Source organism: Homo sapiens, chromosome 18, assembly GCF_000001405.40.
Source record: "Homo sapiens chromosome 18, GRCh38.p14 Primary Assembly".
Taxonomy (NCBI): Eukaryota; Metazoa; Chordata; class Mammalia; order Primates; family Hominidae; genus Homo; species Homo sapiens.
Window position 1 is genome coordinate 21,543,678 of NC_000018.10, and position 20,219 is coordinate 21,563,896.

General features: G+C 40.9%; 1 protein-coding gene across 5 annotated transcripts in view; it reads right to left on the reverse strand.

Annotated features, from left to right (window-relative positions):
• Positions 1–20,219, reverse strand: part of ESCO1 (establishment of sister chromatid cohesion N-acetyltransferase 1) — a 71,421-nt gene that overhangs the window by 14,394 nt on the left and 36,808 nt on the right. For all 5 annotated transcript variants that reach the window (XM_011525799.4, NM_052911.3, XM_047437285.1 and 2 more), the window contains exon 8: positions 17,182–17,313. In XM_011525799.4, the coding sequence (XP_011524101.1) occupies positions 17,182–17,313 (132 nt within the window). The remainder of the gene's footprint in view (positions 1–17,181; positions 17,314–20,219) is intronic.

The following is a 20,219-nucleotide window of genomic DNA, read 5'->3' on the forward strand; positions in this document are numbered from 1 at the left end:
TGAATGAGAATATACATTTGAAGGAATATTTGAAGAAATAAAACCAACAACCAGCTTTTCAAAAAATAAACAAATATTACAAGGGAAAAAAACAGAACCAGGGAGAACTTTGGGATTAAAAGATACTAAAGGGACATAACAACCAATGTAATATATAAACCCTAATTCAAACAAATAAGCAACATAGGAAATCATGAGCTATTTGGGAAGCTTTGAACTCTGATAGAAAACTTGATTTCAACAATTAATTCATTTATTGAAGGTGTAGTTATATTCTTTAAGGTACTTTTATGTTTAAAAAAGGAATAATCTTTGGCCAAGCGCAGTGGCTCACACCTGCAATCCCAGCACTTTGAGAGGCTGAGGAAGGCGGATCACAAGGTCAGGAGATCGAGACCATCCTGGCTAACACGGTGAAACCCTGTCTCTACTAAAAATACAAAAAAATTAGCTGGGTGTGGTGGTGCACGCCTGTAGTCCCAGCTACTTGGGAGGCTGAGGCAGGAGAATTGCTTGAACCCAGGGGACAGAGGTTGCAGTGAGCCGAGATCGCGCCACTGCACTCCAGCCTGGGCGACAGAGCGAGACTCCAACTCAAAACAAACAAAAAAGGAGTAATCTTCATCTTTAAGCAATACATATTTAGAGGTGGGGCATGGTGGCTCACACCTGTAATCCCAGCACTTTTGGGGGCCAAGGCAGGCGGATTACCTGAGGTCAGAAGTTCGAGACCAGCCTGGCTAACCTGGTGAAACCTCGTTTCTACTAAAAATACAAAAAAAAAACAAAAAAAAAACAAAAACTAGACAAGCGTGGTGGCATGCACCTGTAATCCCAGCTACTTGGGAGGCTGAGGCAGGAGAATCACTTGAACCCAGGAGGTGGAGGTTGCAGTGAGCCAAGATCATGCCATTGCACTGCAGCTTGGGCAACAAGAGTGAAACTCCATCTCAAAAAAAAAAAAAAGAAGTACATACTTAGAAATATCTACTAAAGTAATAACATGATGCCTAAGTTTACTTCAAAATAATTGGGAAAGTTAGATGATTATCCATGAATTGTTGAAGGTAGGTGATCAGTACAAAGGGGTTCATTACTCTGTGTGTGTGTGCTGTATTAAACTTGTTTTGGAAAATTCAAATTGCCTATTGTCAAAACTGTACCAATGGCCCAAGGTTTGTTCAAGTATTTAGAAGTAAAAAATAAATGCAAAACTAATCTAGTCAGCGTTGCAGCCAGACCCGAAGTGCAGTAAAGTAGTGACTGTAACAGGAGCAGCTAGACCTGAAGTGTGATAAAGCAGTGACTGTAATAGGATCACAAAGGAGTTTTGGAGGTGCCAGTAATGTTGCTTCTTCTTACATGGGTGTGTTCACTTTGTGAAAATACACCATTATTAAGCTGTGTACTCGCTGTGTACTTTCTTTTTCTTTTTTTGGTTCAGATGGGGTCTCACTATGTTGCCAAGGCTGGTCTCAAAGTGCTGGGCTCAAGCCATCCTCCCACCTCAGCCTCCTTAAGAATTGGGATTACAGATGTGAGACACCATGTCTAGCCTGTGTACTTTCTTTACATGTTATAAGTCAGTAAAAATTTTACTTAAAAACAATTACTGGACAGGTGCGGTGGCTCATGCCTGTAATCCCAGCACTTTGGGAGGCCAAGGTGGGAAGATCGCCTGAGGTCAGGAGTTCGAGATCAAACTGGCCAACATGGCAAACCCCGTCTCTACTAAAAATACAAAAATTAGCCAGGCTTGGTGGCGGGCACCTGTAATCCCAGCTACTCAGGAGGCTGAGGCAGGAGAATCCCCTGAACCTGGGAGGCAGAGGCTGCAGCGAGCCGAGATCACACCATTGCACTCCAGCCCGGTTAACAGAGCAAGACACCGTCTCAAAAAAAAAAAAAAAATTTACTAAAGGAATTAGAAAAATAGGCATTTCAATAGTAATTTAAAAAGTTAAGTTGAGGCCGGGCGCAGTGGCTCACACTTGTAATCCCAGCACTTTGGGAGGCTGAGGCGGGTGGATCTCCTGAGGTCAGGAGTTCGAGACCAGCCTGGCCAACATGGCGAAACCCCATGTCTACTAAAAATACAAAAAATTAGCTGAGCATGTGGCGCACGCCTGTAATCCCAGCTACTCGGGGGGGCTGAGGCAGGAGGATCACCTGAACCCAGGAGGCGGAGGCTGCAGTGAGCAGAGATCATGTCACTGCACTCCAGCCTGGGTGACAAGAGCGAAACTCCATCTCAAAAACAAAAAAAACCCAATACTGGTAAAGATGTGTGTCTAATCCATATGGCCATATTGAACTTCAAAGTGTTTAAAAGTCTTAGATATTACTACTAGTTTGAAAGTGACATACACATGGAAAAATTCTCTCAATTCAGTAAATTTGTACTGACTACCTACCATGTATACAAACCATTATCTTGGCAGTATAGCATAGTGGTAAGGAGGATTTCAAAAATCAGAAAAACCTAAAATTCGAATGCAAACTCTGCTACTCACTAGCTGCCCTGCTTTGGGCAAATTACTTAACCTCTCTAAAACTTGGTTTCCTCACCTATAAAACAGATACAAAAACAGGCCTGGTGCAGTGGCTCACACCTATAATCCATACTTTGAGAGGTAGAGGAAGGAGGATCACTTGAGCCCAGGAGTTCTAGACCAGCCTGTTAGAGCAGCATGGTGAAACCCTGCCTCCACCAAAAACAAATAAAAACAAAAAAACAACAGAAAACGACTGAGAAGCTAAATGAGAAAACACTATAAAATGTTGACCATAGGGCCTAGCACAATAATATGTACTCAATAAATAACAGTTCCGATTATTACAGCAACTAAGCATTTTAATTGTTTTAGTAGGTTTTGGTTTTTGTTTTGAGACAGGGTCTCACTCTGTTGCCCTGGCTGGAGTGCCGTGGTGCAATCATGGCTCACTGCAGCCTCAGCCTCCTAGGCTCAAGCAACTCTCCCAACTCAGCCTCCCGAGTAGATGGGACCACAGGCATGCAGCCCAACACCCAGGTGATTTTTCTATTTTTTGTAGAGACAGGGTTTTGCCATGTTCCCCAGGCTGGTCTCAAACTCCTGAGCTCAAGTGATCCTCCCGCCCTGGCCTCCCAAAGTGCTGGGATTAAAGGTGTGAGCCACCGTGCCTGGCTGGTTTAGGTTTTTAAACCTTCAATGCCTTCCTGCCTTACAAGGTCATTCATGATCCGGTCCCCCATTTACCTCTTTCAGCCTTATCTCTTGCAGCTTTTCCAATACAACACAGTCACAAGTCATAATGGAATACTTTTATTTGCCTGGCCTTTCACATACTGCTCTCTTGGCCTGATATGCCTTTGCTCTATACCCTTCTGAGCTCAAGGGACTCCTACTTATCCTTTCTGAATTTATTAAGTGCTAACCCGACTTTTCCAATCTTTGTCATATGTCCTTGCTCTATGCTCTATATAATACCCTGTATATCCTAAAATACTACTGTAGCATTTTCCACACTATTTAAATGTTTATCCATCGTCCCTCGCACTGATCTGTGAACTTACATAAAAGATCTTTATAATAATTTTTAAAAACAAGGTCGACAGTTAATAAATGTTTAAGAAATAAATAAGCCTACGAAAAAATTATCACATAAGAGATTACTGTCATTGCTTACAGATTTGAAAAAAAAAAAAAAACTAAAGAGAAAAAGAGTTAATTTGCTAGGGTCATACAACTAGAAAGTGGCTCATTAGGAAACCACATCTCTATAGTTAAGCTCACTTTCTTTTCTACTATGCCACACTGACCTCAAGAATCTTATAAATCTAATAGGAGAAACATATAGTATACAAATGTCTTTAATACAAGGTGCAATAAAGTATATGCTTGAAAGGAAATTTTCCTTGATTCTAAAATAAGCTTTATTTATTATACTTCAATGTTTCTGAATCCAAAATCAGTCTACCAATATGTATATTTAATATATTTCTTAATTCTCAAAAAAACAGCTATCAAACTGAAGCAGGAACCTACAAGAAAAGGCAAAATAATATAAGCAAAGTGTTAAAATAGTTTTAGGAAGATAGAGAAAATGCTTATTGGGATAAGAGAGGAATAAAAGAAAAATATTCATAGAAAAGAGTATTTCCGGCCAGGCGCAGTGGCTCACACCTGTAATCCCAGCACTTTGGGAGGCTGAGGTGGGCAGATCACGAGGTCAGGAGATCGAGACCATCCTGGCTAACAAGGTGAAACCCTGTCTCTACTAAAAATACAAAAATTAGTCGGGCATGGTGGAGAGTGCCTGTAGTCCCAGCTACTCAAGAGGCTGAGGCAGGAGAATGGCGTGAACCCAGGAGGTGGAGCTTGCAGTGAGCTGAGATGGCGCCACTGCACTCCAGCCAGGCCAACAGAGCAAGACTCCGTCTCAAAAAGAAAAAAGAAAAAGAAAAGTTATTTCCCTGGGCTTGAAAGGCACAGATAAAAATGGGATGGCATTCTTGGTGGTGGGAATGCTATGAACTAAAAAATATAGGAAGGCCAGGTACAGTGATTCACACCTGTAATCTCAACACTTTGGGAGGCCAAGGCAGGACAATTGCTTGAGCCCAGGAGTTTGAGACCAGCCTGGGCTACACAGTAGGACCCTGTCTCTACAAAAAAAATAGAAAAATTAGCTGAGTGTGATGGCACATGCCTGTAGTCTCAGCTACTCAGCAGGCTGAGGCAAGAGGATCGCTTGAGCCTGAGAGGTTGAGGCTGCAATGAGCCATGATTGCGCCACTGCACTCCAGCCTGGGCAACAAAGTTAAGACCCTGTCTCAAAAAAAGCAAAAATAAAAAGGCCAGGGGGGTGGTGGATCATGCCTGTAATCCCAGCACTTTGGGAGGCCGAGGTGAGAGGGCTGCTTGAGGCTGGAGTTTCAAGATCAGCAGGCCAACATAGCAATATCCATCTCAAAAAAAATTTTTAAATTTAAAAATTGGCCAGGCATGGTAGCTCACCCCTGTAATCCCAGCACTTTGGGAGGCCAAGGCAGGCAGGTTGCTTAAGCCCAGAAGTTTGAGACAAGCCTGGGCAACAAAGCAAGATCTTATCTCTACAAAAAGTAAAATAATCAGCTGGGCATGGTGACACATGCTTGTAGTCCCAGCTACTTGGGAGACTCAGGCAGGAGGATCCCCTGAGCCCAGGAGTTCAAGGCAACAGTGAGCTCATCGCACCACCGCACTTCAGCCTGGCCAATAGAGCAAGACCCTGTCTCTTAAAAAAAAAAAAAAGAGGCAAGAAATATAAATCTATTCCCTCCTTATTAACAGCTACAGAGTTTTCTGAAGTATCAATGTGTCTGGGTCTTTTAACCATTAGCTCCAGTATTTTGATCTCAAAAACTGCATTTCCATAAGATAGGGTCCTAGAAGTAGAATCATTTGATACAACTTGCTTGTAAAGGCTGTTTCTTAATATAAAACCCTGCTCTAATTTTTGAGACCCTGTCTCTAAAAAGAAAACAAACCCCAAAATGCCATTTGAGTATCCATCTCACCCAACATTCCTGCTTTGAACCTGAATATGGTATCTGGACTACAGAAATCTACTTTAGGACCATGATGTTACAACTGTGAAGCACAAGAGTCAACACACTAAGGACAGCAGAGTGCTGAATGAGAAATGGCCAGCATTCATGATGACACTATTGAACTGCTAGATGGAACCACCCTGACATGACACACCTCCAGACTTCCTTGTTTTTTTTTTGGAGACGGAGTCTCGCTCTGTTGCCCAGGCTGGAATGCAGTGGCACGATCTCAGCTCCCTGCAATCTCCGCCTCCAGGGGTCAAGCGATTCTCATGCCTCAGTCTCCCAAGTAGCTGGGATTACAGGCAGACACCATCACGCCCAGCTAATTTTTGCATTTTTAGTAGAGACGGGGTTTTACCATGTTGGTCCGGTTGGTTTCAATGTATGTATTTGGGAGTTTTGCTCCCAATTAGGATACAGAAGGTCAAAGGCCAGGCACAGTGGCTCACACCTGTGATCTCAGCACTTTGGGAGGCCGAGGCGGGTGGATTACCTGAGGTCAGGAGTTCAAGGCCAGCCTGGCCAATGTGCTGAAACCCTGTCTCTACTAAAAATACAAAAATTAGCTGGGTGTGGTGGCACATGCCTGTAATCCCAGCTACTTGGGAGGCTGAGGCACGAGAACTGCTTGAACCCAGGAGACAGAGGTGGCAGTGAGCCAAGATCACGCCACTGCACTCCAGCCTGGGCAACAAAGACTCCATCTCCAAAAAAAAAAAAAAGAAGGTCACAAAAGATCACTGTACCTACTGTAGTAAGAAAACACCCAATAAATGAAAATCCATGTGTTTTTAAAGACACTGAAAAGGCATAGAAACAAAATGTCTAAATGAACTGATTTTCAGAAATGAACCAGCCCTTCCTAAGTGAGCAGAGACCAGTAGCCATTTTTAACCCTAAGATGTTGATTATGTCTGGAAGCATGAGTGAACAAGCAAGCCTGCAACAGAGAACAAGAAGAGTCTCATCAACTTAACGTAATTGGGAGAACTGGGTCAGTTAATAACCAACAGTCATCAACTTTTTAGATATTCAGTTATTATTTAGTTAACTGATCCAATTTTCCCAATTACGTTGATTAAGTGAACTTCTACTATAACATCTAAACCTTACGACTATATGAATATTTCTCATAAGATATGCCTGGGTCAGACCCAATAAAAAGTCAAATGGGAAGAATTATGATACTTTTTTCTCTTCTGTCTTCAAATATTAAAGAATCCTAAAAATCTCTTTATTAGGATTCACATTTTAAGCACTTTTCAATAGGTAGCAACAATATCCCAGTATGTAAGAAATACTTTATTTGATGTAAATCTCATCTCAAAGGTCATTTGGACTTAGCAAACACATTGAGTTCATCGGTATTGCTTATGACTTTAAAAGACTCATGGTCCAAATTCCACTCCACCTCTACAGCCAAAATTAAACAAAGCCAACAAGTCTATTACTGAAAAATGTTATCACAATGTACATCTCTGGGAGTTCTGCTCCCATTTAGGATAAAGGAGGTCACAAAAGATCACTGTAACTGTTGTAATAAGAAAACACCCAATAAATGAAAAAGCACGTGTTGGCCGGGCGTGGTGGCTCACGCCTGTAATCCCAGTACTTTCGGAGGCCGAGATGGGCGGATCACGAGGTCAGGAAATCAAGACCATCCTGGCTAACATGGTGAAACCCCGCCTCTACTAAAAATACAAAAAATTAGCCGGGCATGGTGGCAGGAGCCTGTAGTCCCAGCTACTTGGGAGGCTGAGGCAGGAGAATGGCATGAACCCGGGAGGTAGAGCTTGCAGTGAGCCGAGATCACGCCACTGCACTCCAGCCTGGGCTGCAAGAGCAAAACTCTGTCTCAAAAAAAAAAAAAAAAAGAAAACAAAAAGCATGTTTTTTTAAAAGACACTGAAAATGTATAGAAACACAATGTCCAGGCCGGGCGCAGTGGCTCATGCCTGTAATCCCAGCACTTTGGGAGGCCGAGGCGGACAGATCACGAGGTCAGGAGATCGATACCATCCTGGCTAACACAGAGAAACCCTGTCTCTACTAAAAATACAAAAAATTAGCCAGGCGTAGTGGCGGCACCTGTAGGAACCTGGGAGGCGGAGCTTGTAGTGAGCCGAGATTGTGCCACTGCACTCCAGCCTGGGCAACAGAGCGAGACTCCGTCTCAAAAAAAGAAAAAAAAAAGAAACTCAATGTCTAAATGAACTGATCTTCAGAGATGAACCAGCCCTTCCTAAGTGAGCAGACACAAGTAGCCATTTTTAACCATAAGATGTTGACCAAGTCTGGAAGCATGAGTGAACAAGCAAGCCTGCCACAGACAGAGGACAAGGAGAAGAGTCTCTTGCTGGAACAAAGAGAAACCAACCAGAATTACGTGGCCTGACATGGCAGTCTGAAATCTGAAGAAACTCCAAATACAGCAATAATTATCTACCAATTCTCTCCCATGGGACAACTGCAGTTGGGCTGGAAGGTATAGAGAGTTCTAGTGTCGTGTGGAGCTTAGATCCCCAATCTCAGCTGGAGAGAGACACCTAATACCAGAACAGAAAACTACAGTTTCAAACCCAACTCTGACCTGACCCAATTCAATTTCTAATTAGATCAAAGCAATCAGCCCCTCACCACAGTTAAGACAAAAGAAAAGAGAAAGCACTCATGGGTAAGGGAAAGGATACTATCTACTTCAGTCTCTACTTTTCCTTTACACACAATCTCCAGTGTACAATAAAAATTTACAAAACCAGATAGGAAGACTCAATATTGTCAAAAGGTCAGTTCTTCCTGATTTAATCTACAGATTCAATGCAATCCTAATAAAGATCCCAGCAAGCTATTTTGTAGATATTGACAAACTAGTTATAAAGTTTGTATTGAGAGGGAAAAGACTTAGAATAGCCAACACAAAATTGAAGAACAACAAAGTTGGAGGACTGACACTACCCAATTTCAAAACTTACTATAAGGCTAGTTATCAAGACAGTGTGGTTGATATGGTTTGGCTGTGTCCCCACCCAAATCTCATCTTGAATTATAGTTTCCATAATCCCCACGTGTCATGGGAGCAACCCAGTGGGAGGTAATTGACTCATGGGGGTAGTTACCCCCATGCTGCTGTTCTTGTGACAGTGAGTTCTCACAAAATCTGATGGTTTTATAAGGGGGTTTTCCCCGTTTGCTCGGCACTTCTCTCTCCTGACACCATGTGAAGAAGGACAAATCTGCTTCCCTTTCTGCAACAATTGTAAGTTTCCTAAGGCCTTCCTAGCCATGCAGAACTGTGAGTTAATTAAACCTCTCTCCTTTATAAATTACCCAGTCTCAGGCAGTTCTTTATAGCAGCGTGAGAACGGACTAATACAGTGGTACTGGTGAAACAACAGATCAATGAAACAGGACAGAGAACCCGGAAACAGACTCATATAAAAAGTCAACTGATCTTTGATATAAGAGAAAAGGCAATATAATGGAGAAAAGACAGCCTTTCAACAAATGGTGCTGAACTGGACATCTACATGTAAAAGTAATCTAAACACAGACCTTGCATCTCTCACAAAAATTAACTCAAAATGGATCTAAACATAAAATGCAGAAATATAAGTAACATAGGAGAAAAACTAGATGACCTTGGGTATGGCAATGACATTTTAAGTATACCAAAGGCACAATTCATGAAAGAAATAACTGATCAACTGGACTTCATTAAAATTTAAAATGTCTGCTTTTTAAAAGATACTGTTGGCCAGGCATGGTGGCTCCCACCTGTAATCCCAACACATTGGGAGGCAGAGGCAAGAGAACTGATTGAGCTCAGGAGTTTGTGACCAAGCTGGGCAATATAGGGAAACCTCAACTCTACAAAAAATTAAAAAATTAGTCAAGCACGGTGGTGTACCCCTGTGGTCCCAGCTACTAGGAAGGCTAAGATAGGAGGATTGCTTGAGCCCAGGAGGTCAAGGATAGAGTGAGCAGTGATCACACCACTGCACTCCAGCCTGAGTGACAGAGCACAACCTTGTCTCACAAAAGAAAAAGTGTATAATTAAAAGTATTTTTTGGACTGGGCACGGTGGCTCTTGCTTGTAATCCAGCACTTTGGGATGCCAAGGCAGGTGGATCACTTGCACCCAGAGTTCGAAATAAGCTAAGATGACACCGCAACACTCCATTTCTATTTTTATTAAAAAAAAAAAAAAAAAAAAAAAAAAATTTTTTTTGAAAAAGATACTGTTAAGAGAATGAGAAGACAAGCCACAGGCTGGAAAAAAATACTTACAAAAGAAGTAAATGATTAAAAAACTGTTACCTGGCTGGACACAGTGGCTTATGCCTGTAATCCCAGCACTTTGGAAGGCTGAGGCGGGCGGATCACCTGAGGTCGGGAGTTCGAGACCAGCCTGACCAACATGGAGAAACCCTGTCTCTACTAAAAATACAAAATTAGCTGGGCATGGTGGCGCATGCCGGCAATCCCAGCTACTCGGGAGGCTGAGGCAGGAAAATCGCTTGAACCCGAGAGGTGGAGGTTGCAGTGAGCCGAGATTGTTGCGCCACTCACTGCACTCCAGCCTGGGCAACAAGAAGGAAACTCTGTCAAAAAAAAAAAAAAACACAAACACACAAAAAAAACCGTTACCCAAAATATACAAAGAACTCTTAAAACTCAATAAGAAAACAGCCTGATTGAAAAATTAAAATTAAAATAAATAAAATAAAAAATGGGCAAAGGACCTCACCTAAGAAGATATACAAATGGAAAATAAACACATGAAAAGATATTCCATATCATGTATTAATAGGGAAATGCAAATTAAAACAGTAACATACCACTACAAGCCTATTAGAAAGGCCAAAATCCAGAACACTGATAACACCAAATGCTGGTGAGGACATGAAGCAAGGCAAACTGTCATTAATTGCAGATAGAAATGCAAAAGAATACAGCAACTTTGGAATAGAGTCTGGCAGTTTCTTACAAAACTAAACACACTCTTACCATACGATCCAGCAATCAAGCGTCTTGGTATTTACCAAAAAGAGCTGAAAACACGTCCTCACAAAAACCTATACACAGCAGCTTTACTCATAATTGCCAAACTTTGAAGCAACCAAGACATCCTGCAGTAGGTGAATGGATAAACTGTGAAACATCCAGACAATGGAATATCACACAGCGCTAAAAAGAAACGGGCTTTCAAAGCCATAAAAAGACATGGGAGCCCAGCTCAGTGGCTCATGCCTATAATGCCAACACTTTGGGAGCCCGAGGCGGGTGGATCACTTGAGGTCAGGAGTTCAAGACCAGCCTGGCCACCATGGTGAAACTCCATCTCTACTAAAAAAATAAAAATAAAAAATTAGGCAAGGCGTGGTGGCTCACACCTGGAATCTCGGCACTTTGGGAGACGGAGGGGGCAGATCATTTGAGGTCAGAAGTTCAAAACTAGTCTGGCCAACACAGTGAAACCCCATCTCTACTAAAAATACAAAACTTAGCCAGGAGTGGTGGTGCACAACTGCAGTCACAGCTACTTAGGAGGCTGAGGCAGAGAATCGCTTGAACCCGAGAGGCGGAGGTTTCAGTGAGCAGAGATCATGCCACTGCACTCTGGCCTGGGGGACAGAGTGAGGCTCCGTCTCAAAAAATAAATAAATAAAATAAAATAAAAAATAAAAAAATTAGCCAGGTGTGGCGACACACGCCTGTAGTCCCAGCTACTCCGGAGGTTGAGGCAGGAGAATTGCTTGAACCCGGGAAACGGAGGTTGCAGTGAGCAGAGATCACGCCACTGCACTCCAGCCTGTGTGACAGAGCAAGACTTCGTCTCAAACTAACTAACTAAATAAAGACATGGGAGATGTTTAAGTGCATATTACTAAGTGAAAAAAGCCCATCAGAAAAGGCTACATACTATATTATTCCAACTCTGACATTCTAGAAAAGGTAAAACTATGGAGACATTAAAAAGAACAGTGGTTGGCAGGGGTTAAGGTAGGAAGAAGGGATAAATAAGCAAAGCAGAATTTTTAGCACAGTGCAACTATTCTATATGATATCATAATGGTGAATACATGTCATTATACATTTCTCAAAACCCACAGAATATACAAGAAAATCCTAATATGAAACATGGATTCTGGGAAATAATGATGTGTCAGTGTAGGTTCACCAGTTATAACAAATGTACAACTATGATAAGGGATGTTGACAGTGAGGGAGGCTATACACGTGTGGAATTAAGGAGTATATGGGAACTCTCTGTACTACCTGCTCAATTTTGTTGTGGATCTAAAACAGGTCTAGGCCAGGCATGGTGGCTTACACCCATAAAGTCAGCACCCTGGGCAACAAAACAAAACCCCATCTCTACAAAAAACTTAAAAATTAGCCAGGTGTGGTGGCACTCGCCTGTAGTGGCAGCTGCTCAGGATGGTGAGGCAGGAAGATAGCTTGAGCCCAGGAGGTTGAGACTGCAGTAAGCCATGATTGTGCCACTGCACTACACCCTAGGTGACAGAGCGAGACACTGTCCCAAAAGGAAAAAGAAAAATTAGCCAGGCCTGGTGGCCTGTGCCTATAGTTCTAGCTACACAGGAGGCTAAGAAAGATTGAGCCCAGGAGTTTGAGGTTACAATGAGCTATGATTGCGCCACTGCATTCCAGCCTGGGCAACACAGCAAAACCCTGTCTCAAAAAATAAAACAGGGTGGGCGCAGTGGATCACACCTATAATCCCAGCACTTTGGGAACTCAAGGTAGGCAGATAGCTTGAGCTCAGGAGTTCAAGACCAGTCTGGGCAACATGGTGAAACTCTGTCTCTACAAAAAATACAAAAATTAGCCAGGCATGGTGGCACACAACTTAGTGCCAGATACTCAGGAGGCTGAGGTGGGAGGATTGCTGGAGCCCAGGAGTTTGAGGCTACAGTGAGCTATAACTGTGCCACTGCACTCTGGTCTGAACAACAGAGTAAGATCCTGACTCAAAATAAAAATAAAATTTAAAAATCAGAAAAAAAATCTCTAATCCTGCTCTACTACTATTCACTTCTCTTTTCTCTAATGCCCAGTTTCCTCTTTTTCCTAACAATCTTGAAAAGGAATAAAGTATACATAATTAAATTATATGCACTCAAATTTCACATAAAAAAATAAAGATTAAGCAAGAGTTACTGGAACATGGTTTCCCTAAATCAAAAATTTAATCACATGTAACTTCTTTCCTCAACTTTCTGTAGCAGCACTATCCAAGAGAACGTTCTGTGTGATGATGCAAACATTCTATATACCACCTAACACAGTAGCATCTAGCAATGTGTGGCTTTTAAGCACTGGATAGTACGACCGAAGAACAGTATTTTTAATTTCATGTAGCCTAGTGGCTACTTCACAGGACAGCACAGCTCTGTAGCCAATCAGAGATCTGTCAACTCTTTTTTTTTTTCCCCTTGAGATGGAGTCTCGCTATGCTGCCCAGGCTGCAGTACAGTGGCACGATCTCGGCTCACTGCAACCTCCGCCTCCCAGGCTCAAGCGATTCTCCTGCCTCAGCCTCCTGAGTAGCTGGGATTACAGGCGCGTGCCACCACACCCAACTGATTTTTGTATTTTTACTAGTGATGGGGTTTCACCATGTCGGTCAGGTTAGTCTTGATCTCCTGATCTCAAGTGATCCACCCCCTCGGCATCCCAAAGTGCTGGGATTACAGGCATGAGCCACTGACCGGTATTGTCGACTCTTTCTTCAAAGTTTCTCATCAATGTTCTTTCCTATTTCTACCAACGTCATAGTAATTCAGCACTATACATGCCTAATATGTATACTACTGTCTATATATGCCATTGAAATATTACTTCTCTCCCTACACTTCATCAAAATATTGTTTTAATGTTATTTAAATTTTTATCATTCAAAATATTCGAGATTCTTCAAAACTTAAAAGAACAGAAAGAATAAAGTCCATATAGCTTTCAAAATCAAAGTATCACAATTTGACTTGATTGTATTTTTCTAGTCTCATTATCCACAAAAATCCTGATTCAATAAAAAGGATCTACTCATTATTCCTCACAAAAATGTTAAGCTTTCTCTTTAGTTGTACTGTTACCAATCATAGATGACTATCTATGTTCATTTTAAAAATCAAATCTTAACTCTTTCCTGTCTATGAAAACAAACCATTCTGACCACTTCTAAGTTGCAAAGCTAATGTATGATTTATTTAAATATTTAATATTGATTTATTGCTTTAATAGTTTCTTAGATCTTTTATTAACTTTTCATTTCTTTCAGCCTTTGTTCCTAAACTTGAAGGAAAGGGCATAGCCCTGAGAGTAGTGCTCTCCACACAACATTCACTCAGATGTGAATTAATTCAAAGGAGTTAAGAAGGATAATACAGGAAAAAAGGATTGAGTTTTTCTCAGCCAAGAACACATACATTGTTCTTTGGCATTACTAAAAGCTCAAAATATAGCTGAGTTCCTGATAGGTTCCTGATAGGTTTCTGGCAGTTTCCTGGCCTTGCAACGTGGCTCAATATGTATGCCAGGGGAGAGAACTCGTGCTTTCTCTTCACATCTTTAGGGAACAGTACCTTAGTTCTGGAAGGAAACTGAAGTAGTTTCCTAGGTCTAAACCAGAGTCCAGGCTCCACCTGAAAGCATTAAGAGGTTTCTTCCTAAATAGTTTTTTGGCTTTTTTGTTTTTTGGGGTTTTTTTTTTTTTTGAAACAGGGTCCTGCTCTGTCACGCAGGCAGTGATGCAATCTTGGCTCACCTTAACCTCCTGGGCTCAAGCCAACCTCCTGAGCTCAAGCGATCCTCCCACCTCAGCCCCACCAAGAAACTGGGACTACAGGCGCATGCCACCACGCCCAGCTAACTTTTTTTGTACAGATGGGGTTCCACATGTTGCCTCAGCTGCTTCCTAGTTTCTAATAAGTCAAATAAAATTCATTTCCCCAAATGGTGTCAGCCAAGCAGATGGGGTAAAATGAAAGAATACAGTAAGAAAAAATTTTCTTACTGTATTTTCTACCTTTTATTTTAACCTTTTGAAAATACGACTTTTAGCCATTTCCAATTGTTATCAGATTATTAATCTGCCTAGAAAAAATTTTTACCCAAAGAAAAAGGTATTTATCATATTTTCTACAGAATGTTTGATTAAAATTTTGGCCAAGCGTAGTAGTTCATGCCTGTAATCCCAACATTTTGGGAGGCCAAGGTGGGTGGATCACCTGAGGTCAGGAGTTCAAGACCAGCCTGACCAATACAGTGAAACTCCATCTCTACTAAAAATACAAAAATTAGCTGGGAGTGGTGGCATGCACCTGTAGTCTCAGCTACTTGGGAGGCTGACAGGAGAACTGCTTGAACCCAGGAGGTGGAGGAGGCAGTGAGCCAAGATTGCACCACTGCACTCCAGCCTGGGTGACACAGCAAGACTCTGCCTCAAAAAAAAAAAAAAAAAAAAAACTTGTTTTAAGTAAAACTAGTTGTTTCTAATTTATTCTATTTTTAGTCTTAAGTAGAACAAAACTTTATTTCCACTTCCTGATACTGTCCATTTAACATGAATTAACACCAGAGTACCATATGACTTCTTCTATATACTTCTCACCAACAGACAAACCTAACAGATAAAATTGGCATTAAATAAAATTAAGATATTTTGTCAAGCATTTGTGAGTACTTAATGTCTATGAAAGGCATAAAATGAAAAGCCCAATAAATGTTTTAAAGTCACAACCCAAAATCTAGAACAGTGATCATAGCAGAACAGCTTTAAGATAGGTACGTTTTCTTCTTCTCTCCATACACTATAGAATACCACAATGTTTTGGAAGAGTCTCTTCCTTAGACTCTGTGTATACCTACATTTGAAAACAGCAAAAGATAAGAATGTCGACCTTGATAACAGCAAAGAATGGCCAACTGCTAAACTCAATTCCTTCTCTTGAGCTTATTTCAAAAATGAAAAAAATAACCCATGGCTCTGTCCCATCAAGGGGGGGTTGGAGGAGGGGTCTGGCTGGGGCAGGAAATAATCTTCCCTAGGTTGCTACATTGCTTTGCAGCTTTGCAAGAGAGCCAGAATGTGTTTGGAAGATGATGACTCCACCTTGTTCCATAAATCAACTTCCCTTGACATCTTGGAAGAGTAGAGCAGATATTTCCTGATTGATTTATTTACTTTTCCTCTCAGAAATTAAGAATTTTCCTTAAGGTGAAGAATTAAGACTTTGAAATAAAATGTTTTTATAATTTTAGGAAACTAAATGATCACCAGAATTGAATAATGTACACTGAGTAGAATTTACTTGAACTAACTTCCTCTACGAGGTTTGTATATAAAATATACTGAACTATTTTTGTCCTAGAAGTATTCTATAATTTAGCTACCTGAGAGAACTATTTTTCTTTTCACAATGCAAGGATATTAACATAGTCAAATTGAAAAAGTACAAATTTCAAATGATAAAACAATATCCAGCTATAGATATTCTATGTCCACGCACCTTATATTTGGTGAAGTGGTAGGAGAGAGTGTGTGGAGAAGTCAGATGAAATAAGAAATATAAAGGATGACCACAGGTAGAGAACCAAAAAAGTAAAAACTCACCCTATCCTGGGTAGAAGTAGCTGGATGAATGAAACAATGAATACAAACCCTTCAACCGAAGGTAAGTATTAATACAAGCATATGAATTTAACGGAGGCCAATAAAGACCTTTAAATAATCTAGTATCTGGTACCTATATAAAGATTTATATGAAATGAATTGGTGATCTCAGTTCAGATATCCTGGAGGTCTTATTAACGTGAGTGTACAGTACTGAAGGTAACATGTATACAATAAAAAGAGATTCCATTTCAGATATGGGTAAACAGCAATTCAATTAAATTACTATTTTCACAAGATATCTGAAATGGTTCAATATTGCTAAAAAAATTTTGCTATTTCCACAAATATTAAATAATACCCATTATGCCTAAAATGCACTTCCATTAAAAAATATATTTTGTACTAAAACAGATTTACTCTGTGGGAATTTTTTTTTTTTTTTTAGTATACTACAAATTCTGAGGTCTTAATTTTCTAGAATTTTTCTTTTTTAATCTTATAAAGAAAAACCCTCATGATAACAAAGAGAAGGTAAAGGAAATCTCCAAACAACCTACTTGGTATAATACCTATCACGATCAATCTCCAATATAAAACTGTGCCAAGAAATGTAAATATTAAATAGATTTATCAATAGTAAATAATTATTGAAATCAAAGGAATTTTATTAAAAAACATACAAGTTAAATAGCATTACTTCTGACAAGTACAATCACTACTTTAGAAAAGTAAAATTTAAATTCAAAATCCCACAACATAAACCAGTCAGAATAAATTAGCTGGTTTTTATGTTTGGCTTTGTTTTTAAAAAGCCAGTATACATACTACACGTGCTTTGTACATATTATTATCTCTTAAAAACATAAATTTTTCAGTGATTTAAATTTGGCAACTCATCTCATTAAGAGACCGACCTAATTATCTGATTTTTGCATTTTAGAATTCACAAATTCCACTTACCACATATTTAACAGCACTTATAAACTGGTTGTGGAAAAGCAGATGCTGTGTTTCATCTTCTGGATTTGAAGCTGTATACAGCATTCCACAAACATTACAAGAAACTGCTCCAAATCTTTTTTGTCCTGCATCCTATTTACAAAAAACACACAAAAGTTTTTTTCCTCCCAAAAGAATTATTTCAGAATATCAGCCTCTAAGGCTATAGTGTGAGCATAAAGTAAGAATTGTTTAATCTACATGAATAACATTCAATGTTAATTACTAAAAATAACACGTTAATCTGAAATCTGCATGTAATTTTACTAGGAAATGTTTCCATTTTAGTAACCTGATCCACGGCATATAACAATTTTTTAAAAACTGACAAATAGCTTTAATATTACAAACTTAGTCCTAAAGCCCCAAATAGGAAATACTCTATGAATGAGAACTAATATATATTTCGTATTTGCAATAATTATACTACTAGTGTGTAGAGGAAAAAGTTTTTTTGATACAGGGTCTCACGGTCTCACTGTGTCACCCAGGCTGGGACTACAGGGATGTGCCACCATGTCTGGCTAATTTTTGTTTGTTTTTGTTTTGAGACAAGGTCCCGCTCTGTCACCCAGGCTGGAGTGCAGTGGCATGATCTTGGCTCCTGCAACCTCTGCCTCCCAGGTTCAAGCAATTCTCCTGCCTCAGCCTCCCAAGTAGCTGGGATTACAAGAGCGTGCCATTGCACTGGACTAATTCTTTGTATTTTTAGTAAAGATGGGGTTTCACCATGTTGACCAGGTTGGTCTTGAACTCCTGACCTCAGGTGATCCACCTGCCTTGGCCTCCTAAAGTGCTAGGATTACAGGCATGAGCCACCACGCCTCGCCACCTGGCTAATTTTTATATTTTTTGCAGAGAGAGAATTTTACCATGTTGCCCAGGCTGGTCTAGAACTGAGCTCAAGCGATCCTCCTGCCTCGGCCTCCTAAAGTGCTAGGATTACAGGTGTGAGCCACTGCACCCAGGTAGACTCTTTTTTATTTTTATATTTAATTTGAGACAGAGTCTTGCTCTGTCACCGAGGCTGGAGTGCAGTGGCGCCATCTTGGCTCACTGCAACCTCCCACTCCTGGGTTCAAGCGATTCTCCTGCCTCAGCCTCCTGAGTAGACGGGATTACAGGCACCCACCAACATGCCCAGCTAATTTTTATATCTTTTAATAGAGACCGGGTTTTGCCATGTTGGCCAGGCTGGTCTCAAACTCCTGACATCAGGTGATCCACCTGCCTCGGCCTCCCAAAGTGCTAGGATTACAGGCATGAGCCACCGCACCCAATCCATTCCATTTTTTAATGTCTTAAAAGTCTGGGGGGCCACCTGAGGTGGCTCACGCTTGTAATCCCAGCACTCTGGATCACGAGGTCAGGAGTTCAAGACCAGCCTAGCCAACATGGTGAAACCCCATCTCTACTAAAAATACAACAAATAGCCAGGCACGGTGGTGCGTGCCTGTAAACCCAGCTACTAGGGAGGCTGAGGCAGGAGAATCACTTGAACCTGGGAAGCAGAGGTTGCAGTGAGCCAAGATTGTGCCACTGCACTCCAGCCTGGGTGACTCCGTCTTACAAAAAAAAAAAAAAAATTAACAATTAGCTGTGTGTGGTGACGCATGTCTGTTAGTCCCAGCTATTCAGCAGGCTGAGGTGAGAGGATCACTTGAGGCTGGGAGGTTGAGGCTGCAAGTGAGCTGTGATCACACCATTGCACTCTAGCCTGGGTGACAGCATGAGACCCTATCTTAAAAAAAAAAAAATCCTACTGATTATGTTGACTGTAACTACATAAATGTTCCTAGTACTTTGGGTGCCTTAATTTTTTTATATTCACTCATTCAAGTTAGATTTTTAATCAATCAAAATATCTCCTGTTTTCCAATTTATCTTCCTGTAATTTAAAATGTAACTTTAAAATAATAATGTATTCTGCAATATAGATATTCAAAATCATTTTATACATTAAGTTCCATGTTATTATTTTTTTTTTTTTTGAGATGGAGTATCGCTCTTGTTGTCCAGGCTGGAGTGCAATGGCATGATCTCAGCTCACCGAAACCTCCACCTTCCGAGTTCAAGGGATTCTCCTGTTTTAGCCTCCCGAGCAGCTGGGATTATAGGAACGAATCACCACGCCCAGCTAATTTTGTATTTTTAGTAGAGATGGGCTTTCTCGGTGTTGGTCAGGCTGGTCTTGAACTCCCACCCTCAGGTGATCCGCCCATTTCGGCCTCCCAAAGTGCTGGAATTACAGGCGTGAGCCACTGCACCTGGACAAGTTCCATGTTATTTTAACATTTAAATCAACTACTGAAAGGAGGTAGTGATCAAATGACAAATCTAAGAAAGTAACAGATGTGAAATAAAGTATCACAATTTGTTATAAAACTAGAAGTATGAAAACAATTACTGTTACAAGACAAAGTCACTATTTAAGAAGGGGGTTGTAATAACACCAGGAATATTTTTCTGAGACAGAGTCTCGCTCTGTTGCCCAGGCTGGAGTGCAATGGCACCATCTCAGCTCACTGCAACCTCTGCCTGCCAGGTTCATGCGACTCTCCTGCCTCAGATTCCTAAGTAGCTGGGATTACAGGCATCTGCCACCACGCCTGGCTAATTTTTGCATTTTTAGTAGAGACAGGATTTCACCATGCTGGCCAGGCTGGTCTCAAACTCCCGACCTCAGGTGATCCACCCACCTTGGCCTCCCAAAGTGCTGGGATTATAGGCATGAGCCACTGCACCTGGCCTGGGAACATTTTTCATACTAAAATTTATTATGACAAAAAGGCTCTTTGGCAAAAGTGAATGAATTTATTCTTTAAAACCTTGCATAAATACAATGCTGCTATGATTTTGATATGATTTGATTTGTCTCCACCAAAATTTATGGGGAAATTTGATGTCCAATGTGACAGTGTTTGGAGGTGGGGCTTAGTGAGATATGTTTGCGTCTTAGAGGTGAATCCCGCACAAATAGGTTAATGCCCTCAAATGCC